The sequence below is a fragment of the Homo sapiens genome, chromosome 14, assembly GCF_000001405.40.
Source record: "Homo sapiens chromosome 14, GRCh38.p14 Primary Assembly".
Classification (NCBI taxonomy): Eukaryota; Metazoa; Chordata; class Mammalia; order Primates; family Hominidae; genus Homo; species Homo sapiens.
In genome coordinates, this window is record NC_000014.9 from 56,332,837 (window position 1) to 56,354,755 (window position 21,919).

Sequence of the window (21,919 nt, forward strand, 5' to 3'; positions counted from 1 at the left end):
AATACAAAAATTAGCCAAGCGTGGTGGCACATGCCTGTAGTCCCAGCTACTTGGGAGACTGAGGCAGGAGAATCGCTTGAATCCGGGAGGTGGAGGTTGCAGTGAGCTAACATCACGCCACTGCACTCCAGCCTGGGTGACAGGGTGAGACTCCGTCTCAGAAAAAAAAAAAGAAGTGAGTGGCAAGAAAATATAGTAATAAGCACTGACATGGCGCTTACCACGTGCCAAATTCTATTCTTTATGTTTATGGATATTACCTTATTCAATCCCCACCATAACCCTATGGAGTGAACGTTATCCTCACTCCATAGGATGAGGATATTATTATCCTCTTTTTTAAACCACTTTTTATGTGCAATATCTACCTTTAAAAATATCTATTAGTAAACAGCTGAATTATAAAAAATCAATTTCACTCCAGCAAACCTCGAGTGCCCAAGGCCGACAACAAATGACTCAGCGAGTAAAATAAAGGTAGAACAAAGCAACAAGGACAAGTAAGACTTTAAGTGATTATTATTACCTCATTTTTACAGATGCTAAAGGTTAAGATGCAAGAACACGAGTGTCAAGTTCTGGTTCCAGACTACATGCTCGTGGCCACTACACTCTGCTGCTGCCTCATATTCTATATGCCTTGTACACTGTAACTCCACTGAAGTGCTGGTGGTGGTGGCGTGTGTGTGTGAGAGGGAGAGAGAGAACTGGGGCATCGGGAGGCCCCTAGCCCTCACACCTACCAGCCCAGCCACTGTGCAGAATGCAGGGATGAGTTGTTTCATTTCAGGTGTTCACTCTGCTTTTTGCAGAACATATTGTCCCTTGAAGGATATTAATACAGGAAATGAATAAAGAGTGGCTTCAAAACAAATTTGAGACCAGGACAGCTTCCATCTTATGTGTTTCAGATAAATAAGCCCTTACAGTAATCAACTCTTCAGGGCCAGACCTCTCTCCCTGGAATATGAAGTGCTCCAGCACACTGTAAACAACAGTGATGTGACTCATTTCCTGAACTGTGTCGTGGCCATCTGCTCAAATATCTGCCTTCCTTTTCCTGTATTCTAATGATACAGCAACTCTATGGACAATTATGTAGCCATTAAAAATGGCAATTTAAATTTTCAAAGTTAAAATGCATAACAATGTGGGGAAAATGCCTATAATACAATGTTAAGTGAAACAATTGCACACAAGAGGTGCATGTATGTAAAATGTGTATGCACGAGGCCAAGGCCTAGAAGGACATGGAAAAGGAAGCTTGTTTTCAAAAACTGGAGACTTCTTTTTTAAAGTTTCACATATACTTTTAAAATTAGAAATAAAGCAAGACGCTTCGTTGTGCAATTTCACTGCCATCAACTACAAACATAATGTTTACATACCGACCCAGTTTTTTTGGAGCTGGGAGGATCTCTAAGATTGATAAAAAATAGTTATTAAAATGGCAGATTTTTCTGGATATGGGAAAACTTATCATAAGAGAAGTATGTCGTTTCCTTATCCTGTTTGAAATTTTTTAATGGTTGGAGAACTTGTGAGGAAGGAGATTAAGAATGAAACAGTAATCTTTTCTTTAAAATGTTATCTCACACCAGATACAGAGAATAAATGAGCAGTTTCCAATCCTTTTTAGGAAGGAGGCAGGACATAAATAAACAAAATATGGACTACATGAAATATAACTTAAGCAATCTCCCTAGATACATTTTTCAATAAACCTAAAATCTATTAGGTATTTTTGTAGTTCTTCATTTCCTTTACTCACTTAAAGTCTTACTTGTCCTTGTTGCCTTGTTCTGCCTTTATTTTACTCACTGAGTCATCTGTTGTCAGCTTTGGGTACTTGAGGCTTGCTGGAGTGAAAAGAATTTTTTATAATTCAGCTCTGTTTACTAATACATCTTTTTTAAGGTAGATATTGCACGTAAAAAGTGTTTTTTTTTTTTTAAAATCAGCCAATGCCCTTGTGAAGCTACTTCATTTGCTCTGTTGGTCCAGGTCAGCTAAGTTTCCCACACATCTTTAGTATTGATGCATCAAAGGACTTAGTGAAATTAATCAACTGCATTTTAGAATGAAGGCTTCATTCCACAGGATGTGTGGGCCGTTAACAAAAGTGAATTTTTCCCAACTCAAAACGGTATAGAAAGGAAAATGTAAATGAAATGACTTGGAGTAAGTTCAGTATAAGGCTAATTTTTCTTAAGGGTAAGCTTGTGGTTTAGGTTAGAACTCATCAAGTTAATTGTCTTCTGATCCTTGAAAGTCAAATCCAGACATCTTCTTGATGATTCCTGTTACCAAAGTCTCTGGTACAAGTGATGTTTCCTGAGCCTTCTTAAAGACTCTGATGCTAAGGAGGTCCTTCGGGAACCCAGTGCTAATAACGTATGATACTGGAATAAAAAAGCAATGGAGTAAATGAACTTGCTGAGAAGGACCCCAGTGAACCATTGTTCCTGAATATAAAAACTAATTCCTGAAGATTGTGGCCAAAAAGTAGGTCCCAGTGGAAAAGAAGGAGAATCAGAGTTTGGAAATGTGATGAAATTTCCATTGGCATAGCAGAGAGTAGATCTTGTCACTAGTTGACATGTGCTGCTGCCAAGGTGTGGCCCTTGGGAGAGTACAGCTAATGGCCTCAGCGTCACCTGGAGGTCTGTTACAAATGCAGATAGACCACGAAAGGATTTTTGTCTCTTCGTTCACTTCCATCACCCTAGTGCCTTTAACAATGTCTGCACATAATTGCTGGACGAATGAATTTCTTGAGCCCAATCCCAAATCATTGAACTAAAATCTCTGGGGGCAGGTCCCAAGAATCTGTATTTTAACAGGATCCCCAGTTGGTCCTCAGGCATAGTTTAGTGTGAGAACCATTGCCCTCCTGTACATGGATACTGGCCAGTGTAGTACAGTGTTGATTCCCCTGAAAGCACCAAACTCTAGAAACCTGAAAATGAAGGAACAGCCGCACCTTGGTTTCTACTATGATTATGATGATGATTCTCTGGTATTGCATAAAACGTTTACACCCAATATATCCAGGGGTTAGGTTAGGCAGTTACACTTATTCCCATTTCACAGTAGAAAAACTTGGACATATGCAAGGTCAGATAATTAACAAAAAAAGAATCAAAACCTACCCCACTAGACAAAGTTTAGGAGATGATGTGCTAAGCCTGAACTGGACAACGTGACATAATTAGCAAAGAGTGAAGGACAGCACTCCACTTGGGTCTATTATTGTTATGACCAAGGTCATTTTAAAGTATCAGAGCCACTCTCCAGGCGAGTTATAGGAAGAGGCCACAAAGAACCCGAAGAGATGGCGTCTTTCAACCACCTCTGTTACTCTGCCAGTGATCTGAGAACAAAAGGCCCTCTTGGGCTAAAAAGAACAAGTTACGGAGTCAGAAGCGGGTATTAGGGAAGGGAAAGTGAGCCAATCCCTGGGGCTCACCAGGAACAATTAATTTGTTTAGTTCTAACTAACCCATGGGTTTACCTTGAATGAAAGTTAGCATTATATTGAACTTACTCCGAGTCATTTTATTTACATTTTCCTTTCTATATCATTTCGAATTGGGAAAAATTAGATTTTGTTAATTTTAGCTCCTTGGGCAAAAGGCACCGCATTCATTCCCAGCATTATCATTCCCAACACTTCGCATAGTATTAGATCACTTTCCTATAATCACTTCATTCTCTTTTATGAGACTTGAGGTTTAATTGGAGGTTCCAATAAGAGACTTTATGTGTTTAATGGATTTTGGTATAATAATCAGAGTCTGAAATGCTAGTCAGAAGGCCAGTTGACTTCTAATGAGGCTGCACTTGGGAGAAAAGGGTTTTAAAGATACTACAAGTCTATGCTGTAGAAGTAGACATGCAAATGTTTAGGGAAAGATGTAAAGTGTCTTGTTACTTCTAAATCACAGGCATGTGTACTCCAAAACCTATTGTTAGACTGGGTTAACTGGTGAAAAACATTCAAATTGATGAGTGGGCAGTTCAACTTTTGAGAGGGACTCAGTGAAAATAGTAACGGGACACTCGGATGCATTCTCCTGTTGGCCACTTCTGGAGGCTTCAGGGATTGGGCTCACCCTCCTTTCGCTGGTAACCCCTCGTGACCCCTCGGCCTGGGCTTCTCTTCCTCCTGCACGCTCCCCTGCAGAGTGGAACACAGACTTTCCAGCCCTCCTAACTGCAACCCTTCCTTACCGTCTCCAAAACATGCACCTGCTCACTTCTTTTTAATTATTACTTAAGGAATTTTTCAACTGGACACGCTAAGGAAAATGGGATTACAAAATAAACAAGAAATGAGGAAATTGAATATTATGGGAAATCTTATATTTATAGCTATATCAAAGCAATTTCCCTAGGAAATTTTATGGTATATTGCTGGCTAGGCATTTTCTTACTTTCCCATTACTCGTGGGAATATTTTAAACAGAAGACAAGCACTCTTACCATGGAGCTATATTAAACTTAATATATTTAAATACTACATATTGCATATCTCAAATATTACGTGTTTTGCCTACACATGGAAACTAATTTTTAAGTGGCCTCACCCACAACCAAGGACTCTCTGCCCTTCCCAAGGTGGAAATGTGAGAGATGGATCTTCCCTGCTTCTCCCTCCAGGCCACAAGCTTTTTTTTGTTTGTTTTTGTTTTGTTTCGTTTTGTTTTGTTTTTTGAGGCAGAGCCTTGCTCTGTTGCCCAGGCTGGAGTGCAGTGGCACAATCTCGGCTCACTGCAACCTCCACCTCCCGGGTTCAAGTGATTCTCCCGCCTCAAGCTCCTAAGTAGCTGGGATTACAGGTACGTGCCACCACACCCGGCTAATTTTTGTAGTTTTAGTAGAGACAGGGTTTCACCGTGTTGGTCAGGCTGGTCTTGAGCTCCTAACCTCATGATCTACCCGCCTCAGCCTCCCAAAGTGCTGGAATTAGAGGCGTGAGCCACTGCGCCTGGCCCACGAGCTTTTGACCCTGGAACTGCATGGATAGTCTTTGCCTTTCACCAAAGTGTAAGTGATGCTAACCACACTCGGTGATCAGTGGTTCTCAAATTGGAATGTGCATGACAGACAGCTAAGGCACACAGTAGGAATTTAGATTCTTGGTCACCAATCCTACAAATGGATTCAGCAGGCCTGAGAGGGGCTCAGGAACCTGAATCTGCATTTGTGCCCACCTCCTAACTCCTGGGTGATTCTAAGGACTACTCTTGAACTCTAGATCCTGCCTGGAGAAGCAGGGTGCCCTGCCCTATCTGCATTGGACACTTGGGGCCACAGCTGCTGCCCTGTGAGGTATGAATTAGTCTCTGGGTTACTCCCTGGGGCCCCATTTATTCCATAACTGCTTGAATTCTCTGAAGTCAAGCTTTGAGCTTAAGGTTGAAGAATTCTTCCCTAAGTATAATCTCCAAAGCTTCCTCTCCATGAGCTGCAGGACATCCTGTATTAATTGGGAACATTAATTAAGCTCCTTTACTTATCCTGGAAGGTCTCTATTGTTTCAATAAGTTGTTCAATTTGCCAGCCACATTAGCTCATAATTTCAGGATATGGACTCAGTTTCTTCTTAATCTGTTGCTCTAGTGGTTCCCGAACTTAGATGGGGACAAGAATTACTGCAGAGCTTATTAAACAAAGGGTGCCAAGCTCACCCAAGGCTTACACAGCCAAAATCTCTGGTGTCTGTGCTAGAGATTTTGGGATTCTGTGTTTGACAAGCCCTACTGGGGTTCAGATACCAAACATTTAGAATTGTTGCATAATCCAGTTATTCTCAAATGTCAGGATGTATCAGGATCACCAAGGGGACTTGTTTAACAACATCACTGGGCCCTACCTCTCAGGTGTCTGGTTCGGCAGATTTGGTTGGCGTCTGAGAGTTGACATTTCTATCAAGTTCCCAAGTGACATCGTTATTTGTGGACCAGGGCCTACACGTAGAGAACCACTGACTAAGCTAGTATCTGGGCCCAGGCTGCACTTACAGCCATGTGTCACCATCAAACCAAACATATGGTGGCTTTAAAGCAGCTTCTTATCAAAACAAACACTTCCACTGAGCCCCACTAAATTCCTGCTTTTAGGCTGGGAGGGCCTTTTGTTCTCAGATCACTGGCAGAGTAGCAGAGGTGGATGAAACATGCTATCTCTCCAGGTTCTTTGTGGTCTCTCCCCATAACTCACCTGGAGAGTGGCCCTGACACTGCAAAATGACCTTGGCCATAGCAATAGTAGACCCAAGTGGAGTGCTGTCCCTCACTCTTCACTAGTTATATCACGTTGTTCAGTTCTGGCGTAGCACATCGGGCAGTTCTTGCTCCTGCCTTTTGATCACGCACAAACACTTCCCCAAGACTGAACCCCTCCTCAAATTTCATTTCTCCCCACCTCAATAGAACTCGTAAAGCACTATTTGGTAATGTCGGTTTTCCAGGCTGTTTCTGGAAAGATGGAGAAGAGAATATATCAAACGCTGCACTACACAACACTTCATCAAAATCTCCACCTTAGTTGTCTCCTTCTCTCTTGTCCTCCCTGCCTCCCACCAGTTTTTCTCTTGATCTCTTTCCTCCTCTGATTATGTAGAATAATTTAGGTGTCCTCCCCCCTTCCAATTTGCATCCACCCACCTGAATCAATTTAACACCCCCATCTTCCTTCAGCAACTAGGGGATCTTCTTTGGGATCCTTCCTCCTTAGACATTAGGAGAGGATTGTAAAAATATATCCTTTCCCATCCCCACTCCACCTTGACACCAACTCCAACAGTGGGAGCAAAGAGGTTCTCTTTAGGGGAGAATATTTGCCTTTATGGAGCATGTGATCCACCCCTCTGTGATCCCCTTCTTTCTCCAAGCAAAATGAGACAGGCACAGCTGGGAGATAGAAATCTCCCTTCTATGTGGGGCTTATGAGGTTGACATGCATCCCCATCTTTCCTGTAGGAGAATGCACTTGCCCATGCAATATGGATACTTGGAGCCTTTGGGTCAGGGCAGGGGAGTGAGAGAGAGAGAGGTGGGGAGGTGGAGGGTTCACTTAGAGTGGAGTCTTCAAATGCTTTGAGAGGCTTAGAGCCACCCAAAGCTATGTCTCCCTCATCACCCTCGGGTTCACACTACCCCCGTACATAGACCCTCTCCTCAGCCACCCTCACTGGGGTTCTTGGCATGGCAGCCTGCCCCCCATGTTGAGTTATCCCAACAGCCACAAAGTGTTTAGAGCTTCTTCTGAGTCTCCTGCAGCAGCACAGAGTTTCATGACACAGCATGGAATGACTCAGCAAAGTCAAATGAGGGCAGAGAAGACAATCAGAGGGAATTACAACACTTTGAGTAGAATGATGAGAAAAGGCCCTTATTAAAGAGCACGCACGAAGTTCAGACTGCCAAACACTGTAGTGCCATCTGCCGGCTGAGGGCCCTCTTGCATAGGCCCCCATTCTTGAAGCTATTCTCCACGCCCCGAGCCATGGCCAGGATCTCTGAGACCACTGGAGATACTTTCGCTGTCTGTGTGACCTAGATTTCAAAAGAGGTCGTTCTATGAGTCTGTCATGCTCTAATGGAACCTCTCTCTGTCCTTGAGGAACTTGGATGATCTAAAACTCAGAGGGATCTAAAACTGTTGAAAGGCATTGAAGGTGTTGAAATGAAAGAAAGAAAATATACTAAACCTAGCAGCTAAAATATGTCCTTTGGATGTTTTGTATGTGCCTAAAATTCTTCAAGATACCATAAAATGGTCACCAACTACACTATTAATGTCATTGTGTAAATGATCATTGTCCTTCTCATGCCCCTAATTGTTAAAGACCACCAGCTGCAATCCAGCTCCTTGGTGGACAGGCATAACCGCGGACTTTGGATTACATCCCCTCTATTTCTTCTGCCCTATATTTATAGACATAAGTGATCCTTAAATTTGCTAATGAAGATGGATCCTAGTTTCAGTGAGATCAACGTTGCTGGCTGATTATTTATCAATACATTTTAACCAGGAATTGCTTCCAGAATCATAAAGGCAGCAGAAATCCAGGCATGTATTTGGAATTTGTCTTTAAATTCTAATACCTTTGTCTAAAGACTTTACTGCTACATCCATTTCTCTACTAGATGAGCAAAATACTTTTCCCTGGACACTAAGGTTAACTTCTGCTTTTTCATCTCCTAGAAGTGTTAGCCATTTGGACCTTTGTTTAACAGCTTCTTTGAAGCGTTATGCTCTGACAGCTTGCCTGATGGATGGAGCTGTCAGCATATCCCCAGTCCAGAGATGAGGAGGACATTACCTCACCTACCCACTCTATAAATCAGATGAATAAAAATTAGTACCAAGCTAGGCCCAGGGATCCTTTCTCATTTTAGTACTCTTTGTAGATTATAATCTTCAGAATGTGCTTCAGGAAAAAAAAAAAAAAGAAAAAGACTTTAATGTTGCTTTGCTCTAAAGAATTAGCATTGATTTACTCTACAAAATAACTGCTCATGGCTAAGATATTTGAAAAAATTAGTACTATGTGCACAAACCTGTCCTCTGTGACCTGCAATCATAACTTTAGGGGTTGGAGGTCTGATCTGAAGTGCAGAGAGGGAGATATTAGCAGAAATGTCAATACCCAAGGGGGACTGGGCAGAGTGGGCAGGGCAGAGATGAGATGCCAAAGTGAGGCAACCAGAGGCACTCAGGAGAGGTATCAAGGAGAAAAGAAAGCCTTTCCTCACCCATCAGAGACAATTACTTCTGTGGTTTCCAGGACGTTTCTTTACAGATCTACCTACATCTTTACATGTCGGTTTTCCCTGGTAGCCCCTGAACCCCTTGACGTTAGGAACTGAGACTCATTCATCTTTGTGTCCCCAGGTTCCCAGCCCTAGGTCCCATGGCCGGCATTCAGTGTAAGATCTATGAGTGAATGAATGGGATCAGGTACTTTAGCAAAATAACTAGGGTAACTCTGGATGAGAAGAGAACGACATAGTCTGGCAGAGGTATGTAGAAAAAAAATACCCAGAGTATGAATATGTAAAAAGGAATTGTGGGAAGTAAACGGCAGCAATAAACATGTGATCTCATACTTCATTCTTAGCTGAGAAAACAGAATTCTTACGCTGCAGACACATGATGCTGTGTTATAGACCTCAAGTTCTTCACTGGGGAAGAAATCAGCAGTTAGACTGTGTGTTTTCCTAGGTCACCACTTTGCCCTGCTCCAAGTTGACACAGAACTGGTATTCGCTCCCATTTCCCTGATGACCGTTGTGTCTCCCTTGGGACTTGGGGTAGTTTTAAATCAACCATGGAGTGGTTTCCAGTTCTGGCCCCACCGTGTTCATGTTACTGAAGTTTCAGGGTTTCAGCTTTCACCATCTGTAAAATTTAAATGGCAACACTATGCCTTGGCTGCTAAGCAGGACTAGAATAAAAAGTAAGATGTTGTCAGGAAAGCCTGTAAGGCGTTTGCATGGCACAGGGGTAAAAATAGCCAAAAGGCAGATAAATGCAGTCAAATATTTTGTCATTTGCTTTGCCTTAAAATTTTCACTACTCTTCATGAAAATGAAAAGATGTCCTTTTGCAGGGTGACAGCTGCTGTTGGTTGCAGGAAGCTGCTGTCTGCTACTGATAAACAAATGACAACTTCCCCTGAATGGGTCCATATATTGCCGGAAGCAGATTTATGATTAAATTTTTGCTGGCCTTTTTTTTTTTTTGACCACGGAAAAAGATTTGGCTGGAGTGAGTATATTTCCCTCTTGACCAAATCCTTTGGTGTTTTGAAAACTTTCCAAGTGAGAAAATGAACCCTTTTACCCAGCTTGAGTCAGATGCTCAAAACACAAGATAAAAATAGCTTCTTGGGAAGCTGTCACACTGCTTTGCTCTGCCCCCAGGATGGTTAACCCATTCACAGGGCCTTCAGCGCAGTGAGTGAGCTCCCCCGGCTTTTGTTAGAGATGGTCCTTCTCACTTTTCATTTAGGATGTCCTTGTTACGACCCATGTGAAGTCACCTGTGATTATGAACAGGAAACTTGAGGGTGAGCCAAATGTCAAAGAGCTCTTTCCAAACCATCTGCACTGAGGTGCTTTCCTTGTGGAAGGGATCAGTTTTTGGGCTTAACTCTTCCTATTTCTAATAGTAGTTTATGGTTTGACTTCTCTCTCCTAGACAATTTAATAAATCTGATTAATCATTATGTCAATTTTAATAAGAAAAATGGCATGGTTGATATTAAAAGTTAACAGTCAATGAATATATTTCAGGCACCTTATATGCATATATAAACATCATTCTATTTAGTCCTCATACAGGATTCATGAAATAGATGCTATCGGCAGTCTCTCCATTTTACAGATGGGGGAAGTGAGACTTGCCCAAAATCTCGTAGCTCAAAAACGACAGGCAAGAGATTAAACTCAGAGCTGTCTGTCCAGAGTCGGAGCGCTTAGCCAGTGTGTCCTGCCAAGCGAGTGATGCTGGGCATGGCATCCTCTGGCCCATCAGTACTGCAATTCCAGATTCCAGTCTCCCGGAGCAGAACCCTTCAGGTTTTTTTTGTTGTTGTTTTTTTTAAGACAAGGTCTCACTCTGTCACCCAGGCTGGAGTGCAGTGACACAATCTCAGCTCACTGCAACCTCTGCCTCCTGGGTTCAAGTAACTCTCCTACCTCAGCCCCCCAAGTAGCTGGGACTATAGGCACGTGCCACCATGCCCAGCTAACCTTTGTATTTTTAGTAGAGATGGGGTTTTGCTATGTTGGCCAGGCTGGTCTCAAACGCCTGACCTCAAGTGATCCACCCGCCTCAGCCTCCCAAAGTGCTGGGATTCCAGGTGTAAGCCACCGTGCCCGGCCCAGGTCTGAATTTCAAACAGATGATTCAAGGCTGGGGCTTGAATGAATGCCAAGGCCTTAACTGCAGGTTGCAATAAGTATGAGGTTCAGGTGGCCAACAGTCTAGCACCCAGTGGCAAGACTCATTACTGCCTTGAGGAATAACAGTCATTAAGACAAATGTAGGCCTGGGAGTCAGCATTGCTGGGTTGGCGTTAATCTTGTTTGTTTGGAAATCTGTAATGCATTTTGGATACCCATACAACATCTCTGGGGCTTAATTTCTTTTTGAAGTTGAGAACTGGGGGTAAATGAGGATTAATCATGTAACTTAATGGTCAGGAAATTTACAATCCAGTAAAGGAATTAAAGTGCCCGAATCTTGTTATGAGCCACAGGGTCATAATGAACTGGGATGCAGGGTAATTTTTCTCAGGTATCTCCCAGTCTTATCTCTGCAAGAAGTCTACTTATCTCTGCAGAAGTCTACTTCTGGGGGTGTTCAGAAAGGCAAGGAGCCTTTTACATGTCAGGCCATCCAAGATTGAAGGCATGAGCTGCTTCACTTGGATGCAGGTGAATGGGTGTATGTGTGAAGGGGGCCTTTCCTCCAATTTGAGAAACAAGAGGTCAAGTGAACAGGACCTGGTGATTGGGGCTTCCACTGGGAAAGCAGCAAAAGTGCCGTTATCAGCCCTTGGCGAGTCATTGTTTCCGCCCTTCAGGGTCCTAGGAATAAAAGCTCACATCACTGGGTTCATCTCAACTGACTTATTTAAAAATAAAAATTGAAAAACATGTGTTTATCTGGTTATTATAGAAGTAATAGCATTACAAAATGAATTCACAAGGGACTGAAGTTTACAATATGAAAAACAAGGCTTCCTCCACCTTGTTCTATCCCTGGGCCCGCTAGTGCTGCTGCCCAGGGCAGTTACTTAAAGACTCGATCTTTACCTCACCTCTGCCCAGCCCTGAGCTCCCTCTTTAATATTCCAGATTCTGGTTCTTCCAGTGGTTTCCTCCATGTCTGCAAATATTAAGTGTATGCTGCTGGTATGGTTTGGCTGTGTATCCCCACCCAAATCTCATCTGGAATTGTAATACCCACATGTTGAGGAAGGGACCTGTAATCCCCATGTGTCAAGGGAGAGAGGTGATTGGACCACGGGGGCAGTTTCCCCCATGCTCTTCTTTTGATAGTGAGTTCTCACGAGATCTGATGGTTTTATAAGCGTCTGGCATTTCCCCTGCTTGCAGTTCTCTCTCCTGATACCATGTGGAGAAGATCCTTACTTCCTCTTCACCTTCCACCATGATTGTGAGTTTCCTGAGGCCTTCCCAGCCATGCGGAACCGTGAGTCAATTAAACATCTTTCCTTTATAAATTACACAGCCTTGGGTATTTCTTTACAGCAGTGTGAAAATGGACTAATACAGCTGCTGACTCTTCCTCCTATGACAGATGAGTTCTTAGTTCACTTACATTACTCCCTTTCTTTCTCACAACACAGTTACATTGCTCTTGTAAAGTCCTCTCTATGTTACTTTTTTCACTACAAATAATATGACTAAACTTCTTATTTTTAATCCTATTAGTGATAGGTAAATTATCTTGTCTCCTCGCTTTATAATATGAAGATAGAGTGCAGTTGCAATATGTGTGCACTTAGCTCATACGTATTAGCTAACTTCATCTGGCCAGAAAAGAAGAAAGTGGGTATGAGGAAGAAGTGAGAGAGAAAACGGGGGCAGGAGGAAGACAGGCCGAGGGGGTGTGGGGGAGGCAGAACTCTTAAATAGTGTGAATGATGATTTCAGCTGCACCTGCATTTTGCCCAATAAGTGAGCTGGGATGGGAGGTATGATCAGTGCTCATTTGGTCTCATTCACCACCACCACCCTGCCTCATATTTGTGAGTATCTCCCTCAAATTAGTACAGGTTGAGCATCCCTAATCTGAAAATCCAAAATCCAAAATGCTTCAAAAATCCAAAACTTTTTGAAAATGCTTATCAGTAGCATATAAATTCAGAGTCAGAGATGATGGTGATGCTAAATACCAGATTTTCCACATGGGTGGCTGAGATAGTGACACCTTTGCTTTCTGATGGTTCAACGTACACAAACGTTGTTTCATACACAAAATTATTTAAAGTATTATATAAAATTAAATGTAAGCTATGTGTATAAGGGGTGTGTGTGTGTGTGTGTGTGTGTGTGTGTGTGTATGTGTGTTTAGACTTGGGTCCCATCCCCAAGATATCTTCATTATGTATATAATATATGCAAATATTCCAAATTCCAAAAAAAAAATAAAAAATCTGAAACTCAAGTGTTCCCAGGCTTTTTGGATAAGGGACACTCGACCAGTATCACCTGAAAACTTAAGCAAATTCTTGGGCCCCACCCCGGACCCACTGAACCAGAAACTCTGGGGTGAGACCAGCAATCCGATTGAACAAGCCCTCCAGGTGATTCTGATGCAAGCTTAAGTCTGAGAACAACTGTTCTGAATTAAGTGTAATTCTAATGTTTATAGAAAAGTTATTTTTCATGCAATATAACCCCGAAACCCAAGCTGATTATGTCCACTGATTACTGATTTCATTTGGTAGGGAGGAAACAGTAATCTTGGTAACACTTTTTGTTCTGAAGCCATAGTTGTCTTTCACACTTTCTCCATAGGTTCATTTTTAAAAAATGAAAACGAGTTAAAAGTATTTACAGTTGGCCGGGCGTGGTGGTGCACACCTGTAATCCCAGCACTTTGGGAGGCTGAGGCGGGCGGATCACAAGGTCAGGAGATCGAGACCATCCTGGCTAACGTGGTGAAACCCTGTCACTACTAAAAATACAAAAAATTAGCCCGATGTGGTGGCAGGCGCCTGTGGTCCCAGCTACTTGGGAGGCTGAGGCTGGAGAATGGCGTGAACCCAGGAGGTGGAGCTGGCAGTGAGCCGAGATTGTGCCACTACACTCCAGCCTGGGCGACAGAGCAAGACTCAGTCTCAAAAAAGAAAAAAAAAATGATTTACAGTTTATGTTATATAAATTTTTCCATTAGAGCCAAGAAGAAATGATTACATTTTTTTCTCTCTGACTCCAATGTCATGACTTAAAAGGAAAGTTGATTTAAAAATAAAATTGATTTTTCTTTCTTACAGTTTACCAGTTGGTCACCATCCATCATGTCATAGCAACCTTTGCTTCGTAATTGAACCATACCTTTCTTATAGGTGGCTATTGTCTTGTTCGGGAGTTTCCTATTACCTTCTTTTTCAGTTGCTGGAAAAAGAATAATATTCACTCATCATTGTATTTCTGTTATCTTCCAGCTTCTTCTTCTTTGGGCTCTCTCTTGCTTGGAATCAATTTTATTTTTTCTGAAGCTCACTGACTTCCAGGTTACTTTCATTTGGGCCATAATTCGTATCACCTTTAATGTATCCTAAAACCTTTAAATGCTTTTTCTTTTTTTTTTTTTTTTCCTTATCATCCCTATTCCTCTATTCTGTGCCCTTTTCACAGTATAAGGGACTTCCAATTTCTTTGTAATCGTATATAGTTCACGGAATCCCTTCCTCCCCCCAATGCTAGTCCTCTCCCTCTAGAACATTACCTGTTCTGGCTGCTCCCCAAAGCCACCTGCCCAGCTCTTTCTTATCCTGGAACTTCTCTGAGCTACTTTCCTGAATTGAAGCCACTGTTTTCTGGATCCTATATCTACCTTTTTCTTGCTTTACATCCTTGTGTACTGGAGCATATCCTTAAATAACTCCCTAAAAAAAAATGATGATACAAGAGAGGTATAGGAGGGTGAGTTTTCTGTATCTTTACATGTCTGAAAATATCTTTGTTCTGTCCTCAGGGTGAACTAAGAGTTTGACTATGTATAGCATTATAGATTAAAAGCAAGATAAATTTATCTCAGACTTCTGAAGGAATTGCTCCATTGTCTATTAGTATTTAATGTTGCTGAAACTTACTTTTTCCATATTCTGTCCCACTACCCTTTAAGTTTAGGGTCTAGGCCAGGCCTAGTGGCTCACCCCTGTAATCCCAGCACTTTGAGAGGCCAAGGTGGGTGGATCACTTGAGGTCAGGAGTTCGAGACCAGCCTGGCCAATGTGGTGAAACCCCATCTCTACTAAAAATACAAAAAAATAGCTAGGCATGGTGGCACATGCTTGTAGTCCCAGCTACTCAGGAGGCTGAGGTGGGAGAATTGCCTGAACCTGGAGGTGGAGGTTGCAGTGAGCCAAGATAGTGCTATTGCACTCCAGCCTAGGTGACAGAGTGAGACTCTGTCTAAAATAATTTTTTTTCAAAAAGTTCAGGGTCTAGTTACTCTCCTTAATTTTTAAAATATTGCAGTGATGTATTTCAGTGATCTCCCTCCTTCTCCCAGCCTTGACTGACCTCCACTTATCTGGCCTGATATTGAGTAGGTTATTTTTGAAGATTTTGGTCTCTTTATTAGTTTCCTATTGCTGCTATAACAACCTCAAATTTAATGGCTTAAGATAACACACATTTATTATCCTGCAGCTGTGGAAGTGAGAAGTCCAAAATGAGTCAACAGTGCTCCGTGTCTTCTTAAGGCTTTTTGGAAGAATCCATTTCATTGCTGTTTCTGGCTTCTAAAGGCTGCCTGCATTTCTCAGCTTGTGGCCCTTTCCTCCACCTTCAAAGCCAGCAGCATAGCCTCTTCAAGTCTCTCTCTTACCGACTCTGTTATCACATTGCCTTTTTTCTCTGACCTTTCTACTTCCTTCTTATAGAGACCCTTGTGATTAGATTACTGGATAATCCAGGGTAATATCCCCATCTCAAGATCCTTGCTTAATCTTCTAAATCCCTTTACCATGTAAGGTAAATTATAGGGGTAAGGATGTGAACTTTTTTGGGGAGCCATTATTCTGTCTAGCACAGTCAGTCTTTGGCCTCCTAAATTCATATCCAACCCACATGAAAAATACATACACCCCATCCTAATATCTTCAAAATTCTCAACCCATTACAGCATCAACTAAAAGTCTAAAATCAAGTCTCATCAGCCTAAAAGCCCCTCAATTTCATCTAAGTCATCTAAATCAGGTATGAGTGAGACTCTGAGCATGACCCTTCTTGTGGCGAAGTTCATCTCCATCTGTGAACCTGTAAAACTCAAGAAACAAGTTATCTCTTCCCAAAATTAGTAGTGGGACAAGTATAGAATAACAGTTATAGACATTCTCATTTAAAAGGGAGAAAGGGGAAGGAAGAAATTACCTGTCCAAGCAATTTCAAAATCCAACAGGGCAAACTCCATTAGGTTTTAAGGCCTGCACATAATCCTATGGGGCTCCAGGTTCCACTTTCTGGACCCTCAGCTCCACCTTCTGAGTCATTCTTCCTTTTTCATAAAAGGGTAGTAGAGTTTGCAGCTGAGTAGTTTAATCATCCTGTTCCCTGCCTGTAGAATCCTGAGAATCTGACAACCTTCTTGCATTTCATCCTCTTTCTGCCCCCTTTCAGTGTAATCTGGTAGTGTTTCAGCTAGTATAAAATTCTCAAAAACCTTCAACTCAGGGAAATTTTTTTGCCTTAGTTTTTAAATAATTATCACTCCTAATTTTTTTCTGTTGCATCATTCTTAAACTCTCATTAATAGTGTTGAAGTTCCTAGATTAACATCATGTTTTCATGTTTTCCCTCATATTTTATATTTCTTTGTATATTTACTATGTTCTGGGTGATATCCTTCTAAACTTTCTAATACACTGTTTTATTTTAGTAAGATATTCTTAATTTCTAAGAATATTTCTTATTCTATCATTGCTCCTTTTTCATAGCAGCATGTTCTTGTTTTATGGAGGCAGAATTCTCTCAACACTAAGAAGCGTACTAACTTGAATTTTCAAACTTTTTTCTGTATCTGATAGGATCTCTTTTCTTCAGAATAAATGTTCTGCCTTTTACAAATCTTAATATTTCCTGTTAATCCATGTTCTTGGTTTTCCTCAAATGTCTAATAATCTTTGTTAACTGTTCACATTTATGTGCGAAGGGCAATGTTAGGATATAGGGATCCTCTCTTTATCTGTTCTCTGGCTTCTCACGCAAGTCACTGGGCTGACTCTGGCTTCCATGGAAGTGAAGAGATTGTGTCAATGTATGGCCTTCTTTTAGGGGGCATAAGTAGAGAACACCTCCACAATTGCCAGGATAAAGCATATTTACTCTTGTGTTAGTGGTGTGGGAAGTTCTTCACTGTACTTCCCTCTAGGTAGTGCTTCCTTTCTTTTTCTTTCTCTGGAGTTCCCTCAAGATCTGCTCTGCTCCTTTCAGTGATCCCTTTCCAAGCAGAACTCCCATTCTATTTACTATTCCTTCCTGCAGGTCTTTATTTTGGCCAGGTGGGGAGGAGGAGGAGGAGGACAGATGCCAAGAAGTAGAAAGAACATTCCCTGACTTGGCTCTCCTAGTTCAGAGACTGCCAGGAGAATAACTCTCTTCCCTGCCAAGGCTTCTTTCTGTAAATATCCCAAATCTCTTCTCTGCAGCTCCAGTTTATCTATCTACCCGATTCCTGATTTCTTTCTCCTCAGGAAATTCATCAAAAATCTCTGAGTTGCTAATGGCATGTGTCTTAGTTTGTCTGGGCTACTGTAACAGAATACCATGGATGGGGTAATTTATAAACAGAAATTTATTTCTCACAGTTCTGGATCCTGAGAAGTCCAAGGCACAAGCAGACTCAATGTGTGGTGAATAGATGTTTATCAAAGATGCTGCCCTCTGTGTCTTCCCATAGTGGAAGGAGGCAGAAAGGGTGAACAGCTCCCTCATGCCTGTTTTATAAGGTGACCAATGCCATTCATGAGGGGTCTGCCCTCATGACTTAATCACCTCCTAAAGGCCCCAACTCTTAATACTGTCACATTGGGGATTAAGTTTCAACCTATGAATTTTGGGGAGACACATTCAGACCGTGGCAGCACACTGTTTTTAATACTACCACAGCTTTTCTTTTCTGTTAAATTTTGCTACCTCTTTGATAGAATTTTGTGAAAGCAAGCAGTAACTCTATATGCTCAATTTTCCATCTTGAATTGGGAGATGTCACCTAAACTCTTAATGATCTTGGGGCTTTTAACATCTTAGATTGGGGGGAACATAGTTACACTTCTGACTTCAGAATCTTAGAAATATTTCCTACTTGAGACCTGACTATATGTAACTACTTATCAGGATAGGACCTTTTAGCCTGCTTCAATTGGAATAAGTATTTTTTTCTCCCTTTTATTTATTTCTTCTTTATTTTTTGAGATAGGGTCTCACTCCATCGCCTAGGCTGGAGTGCAGTGGTGTGATCATCATCACTCACTGCTGTAGCCTCTACTCCTGGGCTCAGGTGATTTTCCCATCTCAGCCTCCCAAGTAGCTGGGACTACAGGTGTGCGTTACCACATCGAGCTAATTTTTTATTTTGTGTAGAGATGGGGTTTCACCATATTGCCCAGGTTGGTCTCGAACTCTTGCGCTCAAGCAATCCACCTACCTTGGCCACCCAAAGTGCTAGGATTACAGGTATGAGCTGCCATGCCCAGCCTTCTCCCTTTTCTTTTCTGCTTTAGGTAGATGGAAGGTAAATACTTCCTCTTGCCCTGGGAATGTTTGAAGATGAAGCCCTCTTTGCCCTCAAAGAAAAAAAAATCATTTTTTGTTTGTTTGTTTGCTTAACTGCTAAGAATTTATAAGAGATACATTTTGCCGGGTAATGGTATGTGGAGAGATAAAGATGGGATAAAACTTGGAATTGAGAAAAGCCTGGGGAAGATTGGGAGCAAAGGGAAAATGAGATGGCCTTGATACAGGGCCTTAGACATATAGGAATTAATGTTGAAAAAGTTGTTCAAGGAGGGAGAGATCCGGCTGCCCGAGGAGAACTGTGTGAGTAAGTTGCATTTAATGCACGAGGGATGCCATAGTTTCAGTAACATAACAACTATGTAAATAACCATATAAATATTGAGTGCTTACTATATTCCAGACACTGTGCTAAGTGTTTTACCCAAATAATCTCATATAATCCTTACAGCGAGTCAAGGAGGTAGGTGTCATGTGTGATATTGTCTGTTGCCATCTAGTATTCAGTCACATCTCTTTCCGTGCACATTCCTACATTGCTGGTGTTGGAAATCTGTTATAAAAACTAGATTCCCTTAAAGCTGGAGTTCTGGATGCTACCTGTAAGAGGCAATGGCCCAAGATTTGGAAGATAAAAGTGAGGTCGTGGCTACATCCTTGCTAGCAAGTAAGGTCAGAGGAATGTGAGTGTTTGCTACAGAGAATTCCACAATACGGTGTTAGTCACCAGCTTTGTGGGAAGAAGAGGTAGCTGTGGCTGCAGCAACAGCAGCTTCAGGGCCTATGGAATTCAGTAATGACGATATGCCATTGAAGTATATGGCCTATTGGTGGCTCCCCTGACTTGCACTACTCCAGTCTTTCCAACAAGTTTTTAAACACCACTTCCCTGTATTAAATCCCTTTCTGCTTAAAATACCTAGAATGCTTATTTAGCCTTAAACTTACGTGTACTATTACCACCTCCAATTTATAGATGAAGCAAATAAGGCTCAAAGAGAATAAGTACCATGCCAAAAATGAACCAACTATTTAGTGGTGGAGCTGGATTTGAATCTAGGTTTATTAGATTTTAAGTCCAGTGCACTTAACCACTATGCTTTATTGTCTCTTGTTCTCCATCTAAAGTTGGCTCATGCAAATGTAGACTGGTTAGCCTTTAATATACAAGGGTACTTGTAAGACTGGTCCACCAGCCTTACCTATGTTTTTAGGATAAGTGGGTCAGGACTATGGCAACTGGGGTTGAACTTTTGCCTTGAGCTCATTAACCAAGGCACTCTGAATGAGATAACACTAATCCCTCAAACAATTCTACCAGTTCTAATTTTCTGTAAATTTTTACAGCAAATTCAGTTAACTTTTTGTGATTCCCAGAACAGGTAACTGGGAGCCTGCAAATTGTTTTCAAAATGAAAATAATGGGAATATTCCTGATCCTGAAAACAGAAAACTTTACTATTTCCTACTCCTGTAACCCACCACCACTGATACTTTATTAAAATGTGAATAAAAGCAGAGTATCTCAGAAGCAAACCAACGATGCAGAAGATATATTTTGAGAATTTTTGTTTTTCCATCTCAGGAACAGTTTGTTGTCATAAAGATATTTGTCATTTTAAGAGAAAGAACTTCTGAATAGTGGCAATTATACATTTGTTTGGCTCAAATAATAACAGCAGCTAGGTTATTCATCATAATTAAAAGGGATTTTAGTCTCATCAAATCAGCTCAGCTTCCTCCTGTGATTTCCCAGCCTTGTGGAGAGTGCTGTGAGGATGTGCTAATGGACATTTCATTTTAGATGGAAATGCTCTGTTCCTGCAGTAATGCTCTCATGATTCTCTATGCATTTAGGCTGCTGAATCCTCAGAAAAGCCTAGGATTACGTAGCTTGTGCTCTTAAGCCACACGTCCATTGCTCTATGCACATACTGAAATCACAGACATTTCACTTCAAATTGCAAGGAGCAAGGTAAGCCTATTGTAATTGGGAAAAGCACTAAACTCTGATATTACAGAAATCACTAGTGGGTATTATGGAGAGGACCTGAAGAGTTCTGGTTGTTATCTCCAAGCACTTACTATTTATCTAATCTGAATAAGCTGAGGTTACCCAAGATCTAAATGAAAGAGGCTGGGGCTGGGGACATTATATGGTGTCATATTAGGGACCTGTGTTGATTCATGCAAAAAGGAAGGGAGAGATTGAGGGGGTGAGGTTCATACAGGTGAGAGAGTTAGAACAATACACTTTAACCAGGCATTTCATAAAAATCACAGGTCTAACCTAACTGTAACCAAGTGTTGCTCCAATTGGGCTGAAAAAAAAAATTCTCTTTAATCAGAAAATCATTTGTGAGTATTAAATGCTCATAGTACTGCCAGGAATTTGTATGTAAAGGAACTGTACATATAGTCTTTGTAACCTTCCACTTTCCAGGGGTCCAGTATATACAGTAAATTTATTCAAATAGGATCTGAGGGGGATATTAAATTTGTTATTTTTGCTTTAAAAGAGTAATTTGTAATCAGAGCTTGGGGTCTCAGCATAATGATGGTACAGAGGTTCATTCTGAATTTAAGAAAAGCAAGATTCAGTTTTTCATGGCACTAAATTCTTTTTCCCTAAAAGGAGTTAATGGAAGCCTCAACTCAAGTACACTGCAAGGATACATTTTTTATCTTGTATTTCTGAACCATCATTTTTTTAGCAGCCTCATTCACTTATGTGAAACATAACTAAGAATCTGAAAGGCAACAGAAAACACCTCTTAGCAGCAAAATACTGTTCACAAAGCCCAGGTACTAAAGGTCATGCTCTTTACCTACAAAAGAATCTTTTGGTGTTCAGCAGAGCCTCTTTACTCTTATTTTGCCCGCAAATCAATGAGCTTGATTATCTGGTAATAAAACAGATTGGGAGCAGCAGTTAGAAGGGATGACCAAGTAGCTACTGCAGAGGCAAGCTGAAACAAAGGGAGTAGAAAGAAAAACGGTAAAATGTAGAAATAAGAATTCATATAATTTTTATGTGCCACAATGTATTCTACTTTTTAAACGAATTGATTTAGGGAGTATAAGTGAAATTTCGTTACATGGATGTATTACATAGGGGTGTTTATTCTGTTTCTGATTTTTTAACTGTTGATAAATGTAAAAGCTATTCTGAAGCTCATGAGCCATGCAAAATCAGGCAGTAGTTGGTCGTGACTTGTAGAGGGGCAGGCCATCTTTTTCTAACCCCTAGTCTAAAGCAAAAAATATTAGCAACGAATTGTATATTTGTAGCATATACACATTTTTTAAATATTGATAAATGAATTGTGGTATATCCATAAGATGAAATACTGCTGAACAATAGAAAAAATAAGCTATTGATTTCATGAAACAACAGCAAAAAAGGA

At 41.2% G+C, this 21,919-nt stretch overlaps 1 long non-coding RNA gene across 2 annotated transcripts in view; it reads left to right on the forward strand.

Moving 5' to 3' along the window:
* Window positions 1–21,919, forward strand: part of LINC02284 (long intergenic non-protein coding RNA 2284) — a 116,044-nt gene that overhangs the window by 21,848 nt on the left and 72,277 nt on the right. For both annotated transcript variants that reach the window (NR_187174.1, NR_187175.1), the window contains one exon: window positions 12,138–12,234. This is a non-coding gene — a long non-coding RNA (long intergenic non-protein coding RNA 2284). The remainder of the gene's footprint in view (window positions 1–12,137; window positions 12,235–21,919) is intronic.